Source organism: Homo sapiens, chromosome 1 (assembly GCF_000001405.40).
Source record: "Homo sapiens chromosome 1, GRCh38.p14 Primary Assembly".
Lineage (NCBI taxonomy): Eukaryota > Metazoa > Chordata > Mammalia > Primates > Hominidae > Homo > Homo sapiens.
Genome location: NC_000001.11, coordinates 236,569,516 through 236,582,253, shown reverse-complemented (window position 1 = coordinate 236,582,253; position 12,738 = coordinate 236,569,516). Strand labels below are relative to the sequence as shown.

The window sequence follows — 12,738 nt, the reverse complement described above, 5'->3', positions numbered from 1 at the left end:
GGGCTCCTGAAGTCCCAGCTACTCGGGAGGCTGAGGCAGGAGAATGGCATGAACCTGGGAGGTGGAGCTTGCAGTGAGCGGAGATCGCTCCACTGCACTCCAGCCTGGGCGACAGAGCGAGACTCCATCTCAAAAAAAATAATAAATAAATAAAAAGATACTGTGGGTTATTTGGGTTATGACAGTTTATAATGTAAACAAAAGTAGACTTGTAAACAGTGAAGAGTATATAATAGCACGGGCCCTGTAAAAGAGTACAATCACAATACTAATCGGTAGGTTGAATAGAAACTAACATTGCTACACTCCTACTAATATGTTAGGCCCATTACTATATTTAAAAATAACAACAGCCCAGTCTTTTTGATTGGTTAATACCATTTAAAAATGTGAATACTGGTGTTCAGAGAGGTTATTTAGCACACGTGAAGTTACTCAGGAAATTTCATCCCCAGCACCAGTGACCTCCATGTTGCCAGGCCCAGTGGTCAGTTCCTGTTCTTGCCTGACTTGTTCTCTCTACAGCATTTGACATGGAGTTGGCATTGCTCAGCACATTGTTGAAGTATTTTCTTAATTAGGCGTCCCAGATACTGCTCTTGTCTTGGTTCTGTGTTTTCAAGTGCAAGGTTATAGTGAGGCTTCTGAATATCACTCTTCATTGACATCTTCCCAGTTCATTAAAACATGGAATATGGAATAATTTGAAATGATTAGACAAAGCAAAACTTTGCCTTAAATTATTTGTTTCTTTATAATTGTACACTAGTGAGAAGAGGATTTGGAACCAGCTTATTTGAGTAAGAATTAAAAGTTTGCTTTTTTTTTTTTTTAATTAGGTGCATCTAGAAGATGTTTTTCAGTTATTCAAGTTCTGTTCTGTTTTATGGACCTATGGTTCTAGCCTTTCAAATCCACTAAACTGCAGTGTGAAAACAGTGCTGCAGACTCAAGCTCTTTATGTGGGCTGTGCAATGCTTTCTTCTCAGAAGACACAGTGTAAACACCAACTGGCATCCATATCTTCTCCAGGTATTAAAAGTAGCATTGTTATGTTTTGTCATGACCAACTGTTCATGCTTTCTCTATATGGTTTATGTAGTTTGGAAAATTATAACTTAAAAAAAAATAGCAGAGGGCAGGCGCGGTATCTCACGCCTGTAATCCCAGCACTTTGGGAGGCCGAAGCAGGCAGATCATGAGGTCAGGAGATCAAGACCATCCTGGGCAACATGGTGAAACCCCGTCTCTACTAAAAATACAAAAATTAGCTGGGCGTGGTGGCATGTGCCTGTAATCCCAGCTACTTGGGAGGCTGAGGCTGGAGAATTGCTTGAACCAGGGAGTTGGAGGTTGCAGTGAGCCGAGATTGTGCCACTGCACTCCAGCCTGGTGACACAGCGAGACTCCATCTCAAAAAAAAAAAAAATCGATAAAGGCCAGGCGAGGTGGCTTACACCTATAGTCTCAGCACTTTGGGAGGCTAAGGCAGGAGGATCACTTGAGGCCAAGAGTTCAAGACCAGCTTGGACAACGTGATGAGATCCTGCCTCTACAAAAAATACAAAAATTAGCTGGGCGTGATGGTGCGTGCCTGTAGTCCCAGCTACTCAGTTGCCTGAGGTAGGCAGATGGCTTGTGCCTGGGAGGTCAAGGCTGCAGTGAGCTGTGATTGCACCACTGCACTCCAAACTGGGCAACAGAGCAAGACCCTGTCTCAAAAAAAAAAAAAAAGGGCTGTACATCTATACATATTTCTGGTCACTTCTAAGTATTGCTTTTAAGTTACTGGCACTAGCAAAATCTCACCAAACACAAAAGTTTAATAATAGAAATGGCAGGTGATTATATGAGTTCTTAATAATCAGCTATTCATTTTCTGAGCTGTAGCAGCAATGGGTTAGATATGGAAGTCAGATCATCATAATACAATTTAATAATGAGCTAACAAAAACAAAACCCTCCTGCATTTATCTCTTTTATCGGGCATAAATCATATTCAGGTTCGGCATTCTCTAATGAAATAACTGAAAGTTAAGTTTTTTTATAATGTAGAATTGCAAATTTTGCAAAAGATGCAGAATTTCATGAAACAATGAATGCGATATTGAAAAGTGGGTTGACTTACAGAGCTATTGACATGAGGGGATGTGGCAGAATTAGATCAGAGAAGAATGGTTGAAGATGAAAAAATTGATTAGAATAATGGACATGATTAATGCTTCAAACTGTAATGTTATTAATATCAGAGGCATAGGAGTGGCCCTGGGGAAATTTGAAGATGTCCTTGGTTTTTTTTTGTTTTGTTTCTTGTTGTTTTTTTTTTAATTCCAAAATTACTCTTTGTAAATGTTCTGTGAAAGCAAGTTAGATGATCGTATACTTTTCCCTGAACAATTCCTCAGTGTTTATTTTTTGTTAGTTCTTTGAAAGAGCACATAATTACATTTGTAACCAAATTTTGTTACATTTAAAGTAGATATGTAATTTCAAGTTTTATTTCTAAAATAAAATTCCACAAAAGTAATTTTTTATTCGCTTACAAAATTTCGGTCTTTATTTTAGGTGAGTTTACTGTTAAGGTTTTTCTAGTTATATTTGGATAAGAACAACTCTATACATTTTTTAACTTTAATTTTTCAATTAATATGGACATCTTTCCATATTAATAAATGGAAAAATTTATCTTTTTACAACTGCCTGCAGAGTATTCCATTGTATGGAGATAGCAATTTATTAAAATAGTTATTTTCTGCTAAACTTGTGGGTTTTCAAAAAGGTACATATATTTTATTTAGAGATAACTATTTCTGTTTTCCAATTTGGTATTAAATGTTTACTGTCCTTTGACAGTGGCCTCTGAGTCATATATGTCATTTTGACTGTAAATAGCAAGATGGAAGAACTTCAGTTTTCCATTGGTATTGCCCTTTGTGGGCATGCTTGTGTGGAAGAATTTGGGCTTTGTGAAAAAGATACATTGCAGCTGCAGGGGGCTGGGAGGGTCTTTTTTTCTGTGGGGACACTGAATAAACAGTTGTATGCCTGCATTTTCACTGCAGCCCGTCACATGAGGTCAGGTGTGGAATTTTCCACTTGTGTCATATTGGTGCTCCGAAAATTTGAGATTTTGGAATTTTTGGATCAAGGTTGCTCAACCTGTATGAACTTCTTAGGCAGGTTTGAAACCTTGTCAAGCTTTATCTTAGTATTTCAGAAATGGAAAGTATAATGGAAAATTTCTAGCAAAATATAAATGACCGTAGTTTGCTGCAGTAGATATGAAATAAAGCTTAAATAACTAATTACTGTAAAAGGAATTTAGATATCTCTTTGTTCCAAAGACATCTTTTTAAAAACCCTAGCGCAGTTGGTCTCACAGATGCATTCCTACTAGATCTTTGAAGCAGATTTTTTCAATGTTGTTGAACTGGGCAGGGCATAGAGAAGGGAAGCTTCCAGATTCTTTATTTAAAACTGGCATAACATTGAAAATTGAGAAAGCCTACAGACAAAAACTATAGGTCATGTTGCTTTGAATAATATTATGTAAAAATCCTAAAGAAAATATTCGCAAATAGGCTCTAGCAGCATATTTATAAAAATCATTTACCTAGCTAGAGTTCATGCCCAGAATATAAAATTGGTTCAGTAAAGGGAACTATGTTAATATAATTGACTGTATCAGTGAAGGACAAAACCCATAAAGTGTCCAAAGATTTGAAAAGGCATTAGCCAAAAATCAGTAATCCTGATTGACAGCAGAATAGGAGTAACATGATCAAAAATTCCTCAAATCAAAAGCTAGCGTTTTCACTTCATAATTGGGAAAACAAAGGCATTCCTGCTGAAATCATCACTCTCATTGAACATGATTCTAGAAGTACTAGCCGGCAGAAATAGACAAGTTTCAAATACTTATGGAATGTATGAATATAATAAAGGCAAAATCAAAGATCTGTGAGATGGTTATGTGGATTGTTAAATGGGACATCTGGCTATCCATTTGGAAACATTAGGAAGTTTGACTCCAACCTCATTCCTTAGATAGAAATTTCATGTGAACTAAAGATTTAACATAAACTTAGCTCTGGCATTAGAAGAAAGCATGAGGTACATATGATCTCTCCCTCTAAATATAGAGAGAGGTACTTTCTAAATTCACTTAGAGTGAGGAGGGCCTTTCTAAGCACCAGAAAAAAAGTAGAAGAAAAACTTGACTCTAACATTTCTCTATCAAAAAGTAAAATCAAAACACACCAGTCTGGGACCAAATATTTGTAGAGTACGATGCACAGGTGGGTAATTTCCCGTGCACGCTTGTACAAGGCTGTATGTGCAGCGGTGTTTGTTGCAGCATTGTTTTGATGACAAAAGAATAGAAACAACCTAAACTTTACCAGTAAGGTACCGGTTTTTAAAATATGGAAAATACATTGGAGTATACAATTAAAAAATAATGATTTGGCCGGGTTTGATGGCTCACACCTATAATCCCAGCACTTTGGGAGGCCGAGGTGGGCGGATCACCTGAGGTTGGGAGTTCGAGACCAGCCTGACCAACATGAAGAAACCCCGTCTCTACTAAAAATACAAAATTAGCCGGATGTGGTGGCGCGTGCCTGTAATCCCAGCTACTTGGGAGGCTGAGGCAGGAGAATCGCTTGAATCCAGGAGGCAGAGGTTGCAGTGAGCCGAGATCGTGCCATTGCACTCCAGCCTGGGCAACAAGAGGAAAACTCCATCTGAAAAAAAAAAAAAAAAGAATGATGTAATTTGGATATGTATGTACTTATGGAAAACATTCGCAAGAGTTTAGATGTGTCTGTAATCCCAGCACTTTGGGAGGCCAAGGTGGGTGGCTCACTTGAGGTCAGGAGTTCGAAACCAGCCTGGCCAACATGGTGAAACCCAGTCTCTACTAACAATACCAAAATTAGCCAGGCGTGTGGCGTGCACCTGTAATCCCAGCTGCTCAAGAGGCTGAGGCAGGAGAATTGCTTGAACCCAGGAGGCGGAGGTTGCAGTGAGCCGAGATTGCACCATTGCGCAATGTCCAGCTCATATGTGATAGCAGTTGGTGTAGAACAGAGTTTATAGTATGCTCTTGTGTATTTTCAAAAGAATGCACCAGGTAACATATGCCTAACCTTTCTCTGGAATATTAAATATTCAAACAGTGAACAGAGAAGGAGTTTGAATTCGAAGGGAAACTTTTTATCAAGTACCTTTGGTACTATGTAAATTTTGTACTGTTTCAGTTTTTAAAATTGTTTCTTAAATTTTTTTTTCCTTTGATTTTAGTGGTGACATCTTTACTCATTAACCTGGGAAGCCCCGTAAAAGAAGTTCGTAGGGCTGCCATTCAGTGTCTCCAGGCCCTCAGTGGAGTGGCATCCCCGTTTTATCTGATAATAGATCATTTGATTTCTAAAGCAGAGGAGATCACTTCAGATGCTGCCTATGTTATTCAGGTAAGCTCGTTAGCAAAGAAGATTGAGTGTGTTCATGCCTCTGTGTACTGGAGCAATTTTCTCCATTCTCGACATTTCACTGTGTAGGGATTTTGATGGACTAAGTCATTGGATTTAGGAACTGATAGGTCAATATCTGTACATCTGTGTCCCCCTACTTTTGAAAAGATAGCAATGTCATATTTCAATTTAGTTCTTTTCATTGGATAAAGGTTTAGTGTGTAGCTTTTCATAGTAAGCCAGCTGTGTGTTTTTAATAACGTTTCTTATTAAGGTTTTAAGGAGAAATGGAAAATTATAAACAATGTCACATCATTTGGGTAAGAGTCTTCCGTAATTAATATATTTAGCCTTTGTAGTTTCTTAACCCTTTTTTATCCAATTTTCTTTTTGGTATCTTAGGATTTGGCTACTTTATTTGAGGAACTACAGAGAGAAAAGAAACTGAAATCTCATCAGAAGTTGTCTGAAACTTTGAAAAACTTACTTAGTTGTGTGTATAGTTGCCCATCTTATATAGCAAAAGATTTGATGAAAGTACTTCAGGGAGTCAACGGTGAGGTATGTGCCATTTAAGTGGATTGTACATTCCTGTGATGTTACTAAAGAATTGTTGTAACTGCTTGTGGGTGAAGAAGACAATTGTAAGAGTTGCATGTGTGCGCTCAGAAGAGATAAATGTAATATTAATTTGAGAGGGGGATGAGTTGAGGTAGAGAAAAACAGATACAAGATACAAAGACAAGTACTGGTGAGTTTCTTTTTATTTTAAAATTAAATGTGTTGTCCCTGTCTAATCATTAAGTTTATTTTAAATGAACTTAACAGTCTCGTGTCTCATGGGGCTGCACTGCTGAAAGAAGCTGTTGGTTCATCTCTGTTTTTCAAGTGAAAATTCTATACAAAGGAATATATTTGGACACGAGTCTATGAAAATTCCAAAATCATTTGCTCGTTTATTATATATATTTAGAGCTTTCATTGTGTTTTCGAAGAAGCTTGTGTTACAAAAGAAAGCAGTTGTGAAACACTTGTTGATGTGATGGCATGTGCTGACCAACATAAAAAAGGTTCTTTCATCCCAGTGTTACAGAAATGCCTGTGTGCTTCATCAGTCCTAGACTGACTGTGGGCTTAGAGAACTAAAATGAGCCAAATGGATTGAAGACCATTTGATTACACTTTCTTGGTAGGAACAAACAGGTTGCATTCAGCCCTTAGTTGTCCCTGGTATAGTTTAAATTAATAATTGACAAATTTCTTGGGTAAAGGACCAGATAGGAAATATTTTATGCTTTTGGGGCCACACAGTCTCTGTTGCAGCTACTCATCTCTGCAGTTGTATCAGGAAAGCAGCCACAGACAGGGTGTAAACAAATGAGCATGGCTGTGTTTCAGTAAATAAAATTTACAAAAACAGGTGGTCTGTTGAATTTGACCTGCAAGCCATAATTTGCTGGCCCCTAGTTTAGCAGTTAAAGATTTACATACATAATTTGAATTAATATTAATTATACCAAGTTGGAAACATTGAAGGACACATACAGTGTTTTAGGGAATCTTAAACTTTATTTTTATTCTCTAAAGTTTTAGTTTGTGTTTTCTGTTCTCAAGTCTTGAGGAATGCTCACAGATTATCTTTCTGCTCATCTCTGAAGGGTTTAGCACTTTTGAGCATTACACATGAACTGTCAGAAAGGACCTGAGTGCCTTAGTGTGAATTAATAGCTGTCTCCATGTCTAAGAAGTTACCATCATTGGGTTTTTTCCTCCAGGCTAAACTCCCATCTTCCAGCAGGCTTTGAGTGTCTCTGTAGAGTGAGCAAAAACATATCAGTATACATAACTATTTACTACTAAGTCTTTGGATCTTTAGATGGTGCTTTCTCAGCTATTGCCTATGGCTGAACAACTGCTAGAAAAGATCCAGAAGGAGCCCACAGCTGTGCTGAAAGATGAGGCCATGGTTCTGCATCTCACTCTGGGAAAGTATAATGAATTTTCAGTTTCCCTTTTAAATGAGGATCCGAAGAGTCTAGATATATTTATAAAAGCTGTGCACACAACAAAGGAACTTTACGCGGGAATGCCAACCATTCAGATCACAGCCCTTGAAAAGGTCAGTGATTTCTTTCAGAAACTAAGGCATAGCATGTTCAAGCATTTAAAGGTAGAAGGCAACAGGAACAGCGTTAAAAAAAAAAAGATTAATATTTTATTTGGAGAAGATAGTTACAGGTGGACTAGACGTTTTAAAGGAAAATGATGTATTTGACCCATTTTTGAAAACTGAACGTTGTACATGGGTCATTAAAAAGAATTGCATTTTAACTGACAAAATTAAGTGGGAAACAATTTTGTATTTTGAGAGAGGTTGATATAAAAATTATTTCTGGAATTTAAACTTGTTCACTGAACTCAGTTGCCTTTTTTCTACCCCCTCTAGATTACAAAACCATTTTTTGCAGCCATATCAGATGAAAAAGTTCAGCAGAAGCTTTTAAGAATGTTGTTTGATTTATTGGTGAACTGTAAAAACTCACATTGTGCTCAGACTGTCAGCAGTGTTTTTAAAGGGGTAAGCTGCAAACTTCTTGTAATTTTTTTTATTAATGTTTATAGTCTCTTCCAAGGGACACCATGTTTAAGAGTCCTGTATTTTATAGTGCTTGTAAGAGGTCAGATGTTACCATTAACAAAAATCATGGAAAAGTAAGTCAGAGAGAGGCATAAAATAAAAATTTTAAATCTTTACCATTATTTTATTTTATGAAGTATTTGTTGATAATTTTAACCAGATAGGATGTGTAGGAATATGTGTGTGTGTGATCTTTCTCATATTAGACGGAATCTACCTATTCCTTTATGCAAGGAATAGGAATGAGTCAATGGCTCAGTATTGAACTGGGTAACATTATTCTACTTAATTTAAATAGTTGTTTAATGACATATAATGGAATTGAAATTCTGCTTGTTGGTTTTATACGTATATTGAAACCTTGTTATTATCAGAATAGCCACCTGGTTATTCTCTTTTTTGAATATAGAATAATACAAAGTTCTAGTATCTAGATTCAGCAGTTCTCAGAATTTTAACATATTAATCTTTTTTCCTTCTTTTTCTTTGCTGAAATATTTTAAAGTAAATCTCATAATGTCATGCACTTTCATCCCTCTGTACTTCAGTGTGCATCTTTTGAAAAGTGGATATGACTACAATGCCATTAGAAGTAAAAAAAAAAATAATTCCTTGGTATTATCTAATACCTAGTTCATAATCATATTTCCATGGTTATCACAAAAGTATTTTTTATAGTTGTTTTCTTTGAATCAGAATCCAAAGATTTAGTTGTGATGTTAGAACCTTATAAAAAGAGATATCTGGATCCCACCCCATATCTAAAGAATCTCTGGGGCAGTAAATCTGTTTTTGTGCATGTGTGTATATGTCTTATTCCTTCCTAGCTGATTAGAATATACATATCTGATCCGGCACTTGGAAACAATCGGTATGGATGATTCTGTATTGCATTACTAGTTGTCCACTCTAAGGGATGAGCGTGAAATTGAGTGACTCTGGACTGGAGAAGTGATACTGTATCATAATCAAGACAAGTGCAGGGCTGTAACTTGAGACTCCCAAGACAAATTGTATAGAAAGCAAGTGCATGGTAGTAGGAGAGCTTGGTTAAAATGAAAATCTGAAGTTGAATTTATGTTGGCTAGAGCTTTTAGTGTATACTCTTCCCTACTTTGCTTTCTTCTCATTCTGGTTTTTCAAGAAGTCTGTAACAAGGTAGTAGCATCCAATGCTGGGGGGGGTTCAGATGCATATCCAGTAAGTCATTCTTCCCTCTTAATTGAATAAATCCTTCCTAGGGGTTAACATTTATTGCTCTAATTTTATCCCAATGGATTATATCATCAACTCTTCTTCCTTCAATATTTCAGATTTCCGTTAATGCTGAACAAGTCCGAATAGAACTGGAGCCACCAGATAAAGCTAAACCCTTGGGCACAGTTCAGCAAAAAAGAAGGCAAAAAATGCAGCAGAAGTAAGAGCTACAAATGCATTGAGCACATGCTGTTGTTCCCTGACTCTGAATGTTATGAAACCATTGGAACTTTTTGATACTCATCAATTTGCTATAATCAGGCACAATGGTTTTTACTTAGCACATGATAGAGTTTGCTTTTCCAACGTTTTGTCTTCTCCATTTTCCAGAAAATCACAAGATCTAGAATCTGTTCAGGAAGTTGGAGGTTCTTACTGGCAAAGAGTAACTCTCATCCTGGAATTACTGCAGCACAAAAAGAAGCTCAGAAGTCCTCAGATATTGGTGCCAACTCTTTTTAACTTGCTATCAAGGTAATGACACTTGGCTTTGATCTGTGAGAGAATAGGACTCTAATTCTTGCCCATCTTATCTAACATTCTCTTTTCAACATACTCTTCTCTTGTTTAGATAGTCTGTAAAATAAAGCAAGTACTATAGGTGAAATTAAAAGATTGGTTTTAGGTATCCATTGCTGGTGCCCCAAACTGACCTTAGTGTCCTGTGTCATGTAGTAAATGGCCACTCACTGTACAGCCTACTTTCCTCTGAACTTTTCAGTAGCGTGCCTGGGACGTCATTACTTGCATTTCAAGATATAGTGTTGAATTTATATAGATATAGATATGTGTGTATATAGTGTTTGCTATCTAAATATATTTTCATATATATAGATGTATATATTCTATATACGTAGATTTGTGTATGTGTGTGTGTAAATTGAGTATGAATTGTAGCGTGTGCTTTCATGTGAAAGGCAAAGTAATTCTGAAGGTTGTCCTGTAAGATTCCAGATAGGCTAATGGAAAGTGCAATAGAGAGGACGTGGAATTTGACATAGCGCCTGTCTATATGAGAGAAAATTAGAGTTAGAAATCTTATATCTTATTTCTAGACTTGATGTTTAATGATAGTATTTTAGTTATTCCTTATTGAATGAGTTCCTTATTGAATGAGTTCTGGACAATGGCCATTAATGTAACAATGAATTGTACAACTTTTACATTTCCCATCATTTCTCTTTTGGGTGTCCTGAAGATGTTTAGAACCCTTGCCACAAGAGCAGGGAAATATGGAATACACCAAACAATTAATTCTTAGTTGTCTGCTCAACATCTGCCAAAAACTATCTCCAGATGGTGGCAAAATACCCAAAGGTAGGTACTTTTTGGAAGGAAAGGTTAGAAAAATTATCTACTTTGAGCGTGAGTGTACCTGCCACTTAGGGTTTTTGTCTTTCTCACCATTGTAGATATTTTAGATGAGGAGAAGTTCAACGTGGAGTTGATAGTTCAGTGCATCCGCCTTTCGGAGATGCCGCAGACCCATCACCATGCCCTTTTACTTTTGGGCACTGTTGCTGGAATATTTCCGGTAAGCGTTAATGATATAAGATTTTAGCAGATATTTCAGATATTTTTCTTCCACAGAAATGCACTGGCACCTGTTGATTTTAAATTTAATCAATTAGGCTTTGGAATCTTCCAGCACTGGTGAGACTCTCAGCCCTGCCTCTTCATAGCTGGGACTGTATAAGCCAGTTGATCTTGCTAAGCTTTGGTTTCCCTTTTTATCAAGTGGGAATAATAACCTTCTTCACTGGATTGTTGGGGGAATTCAGTTGGATAATTTGTGGTTAGTACTTAGCATAATACCTGGCACACTATCTATCTAATAAAACAGTAGGTATTGGTGTTAATTGGGAAAAGTTAATATCTCATTTATCCTCAAGTAATCCTCAAAGTAACCTTTAACCAGTGACTTCAGAAAATTAATTTGATCATAAACTATGTCATTTAAAGAAATCATGTCCCTTTTATGAAAAATATCATTTAAACATTTGTAAAGAGATTGAAGCTATTTTCATATTGAGGATTTGAGTCAGAGCTCCTTAACCTGGGGTTCTCCATGAGCTTTAGGGGATCTTAATCTACTGAAATCATATGCAAAGTTTTATCTGTATGGGATTTCTTTTTTTCTTGTAAGAGAGTCTGTGCTTCTCAAAGGGGTTGATAATCCAGAAACAGTTAAGAATCATTAATATTTTTTCTGTTTTTATTGAAATATAGTTCAGATGCCATAAAATTCACCCATTTAAAGTATACAATTAAGTGATTTTAGTATATTCACGAAGTTTCTGTAATCACCACCACGATCTACTTGAAGAGTATTTTCATCACCCCAGAAAAGAAACCCTACACCCATTAACTGTCACTCTTCCTCTCCCTCCTCCCTGCCGCTGCCACCGTCACCACCAGCACCACCACCACCACCATGACCACCACCCTGCTCCTGGCCACTAGTAATCCATTTTCTGTCTCTCTCAATCTGCCTATGCTGGACATGTCATATAAATTGAGTCATACAATATGTGGCCCTCTGTGTCTGGTTTCTTTTGCTTAGCATAATGTTTTTGTTTGTTTGTTTGTTTGTTTTGAGACGGAGTCTCGCTCTGTTGCCGAGGCTGGAGTGCAGTGGCGCGATCTCAGCTCACTGCAAGCTCTGCCTCTTGGGTTCATGCCATTCTCCTGCCTCCGCCTCCCGAGTAGCTAGGACTACAGGCACCCGCCACCACGCCCGGCTAATTTTTTTGTATTTTTAGTAGAGACGGGGTTTCACCGTGTTAGCCAGGATGGTCTCGATCTCCTGATGTCATGATCCGCCCGCCTCGGCCTCCCAAAGTGCTGGAACTACAGGCGTGAGCCACCGTGCCCGGCTGCTTAGCATAATGTTTTTGAGGTTCATTCTTGTTGAAGCTTGAATCCGTATTCCTTTTATGACTGAATAATATTGTTGTATGTGTATGCCACATTTTGTTTATCTGTTCATCGGTTGATGGACATTTGGGTTGTTTCAACTGTGGGGCTATTATAAATTATGTTGCTATGAATATTGTAGACATGGTTTTGTGTGGACATGTTTTCATATCTCCTGGGTATATATACCTAGGAGTGGAATTGTTGGGTCACACGGAATTTTATGTTTAGCTTTGGAGTAACTTGCAAGACTATTTTCCATAGTGGCCACACCATTTTGCTTCCACCAGCAGCCTGTAAAGTTCCCAATTTCTTCACATCCTTGCCAGTACTTGTTACTGTCTTTTTTATCGCCATTCTAGTGGGTGTGAAGTAGTATTTGTGCTTATATTCTTTTCGTATGAATTTTTTCTTTGAAGAAATGTCTTTTCAAATCCTTTGCCTGTTTTTTAA

The 12,738-nt window shown here is 37.3% G+C and overlaps 1 protein-coding gene across 1 annotated transcript in view; it reads left to right on the top strand.

Annotated features, from left to right (window-relative positions):
- Positions 1-12,738, top strand: part of HEATR1 (HEAT repeat containing 1) — a 55,512-nt gene that overhangs the window by 22,263 nt on the left and 20,511 nt on the right. The window contains exons 20-28 of the mRNA NM_018072.6: positions 840-1,032; positions 5,305-5,474; positions 5,877-6,035; positions 7,351-7,593; positions 7,921-8,052; positions 9,426-9,529; positions 9,700-9,843; positions 10,568-10,686; positions 10,782-10,903. Of these exons, the coding sequence (NP_060542.4) occupies positions 840-1,032; positions 5,305-5,474; positions 5,877-6,035; positions 7,351-7,593; positions 7,921-8,052; positions 9,426-9,529; positions 9,700-9,843; positions 10,568-10,686; positions 10,782-10,903 (1,386 nt within the window). The remainder of the gene's footprint in view (positions 1-839; positions 1,033-5,304; positions 5,475-5,876; positions 6,036-7,350; positions 7,594-7,920; positions 8,053-9,425; positions 9,530-9,699; positions 9,844-10,567; positions 10,687-10,781; positions 10,904-12,738) is intronic.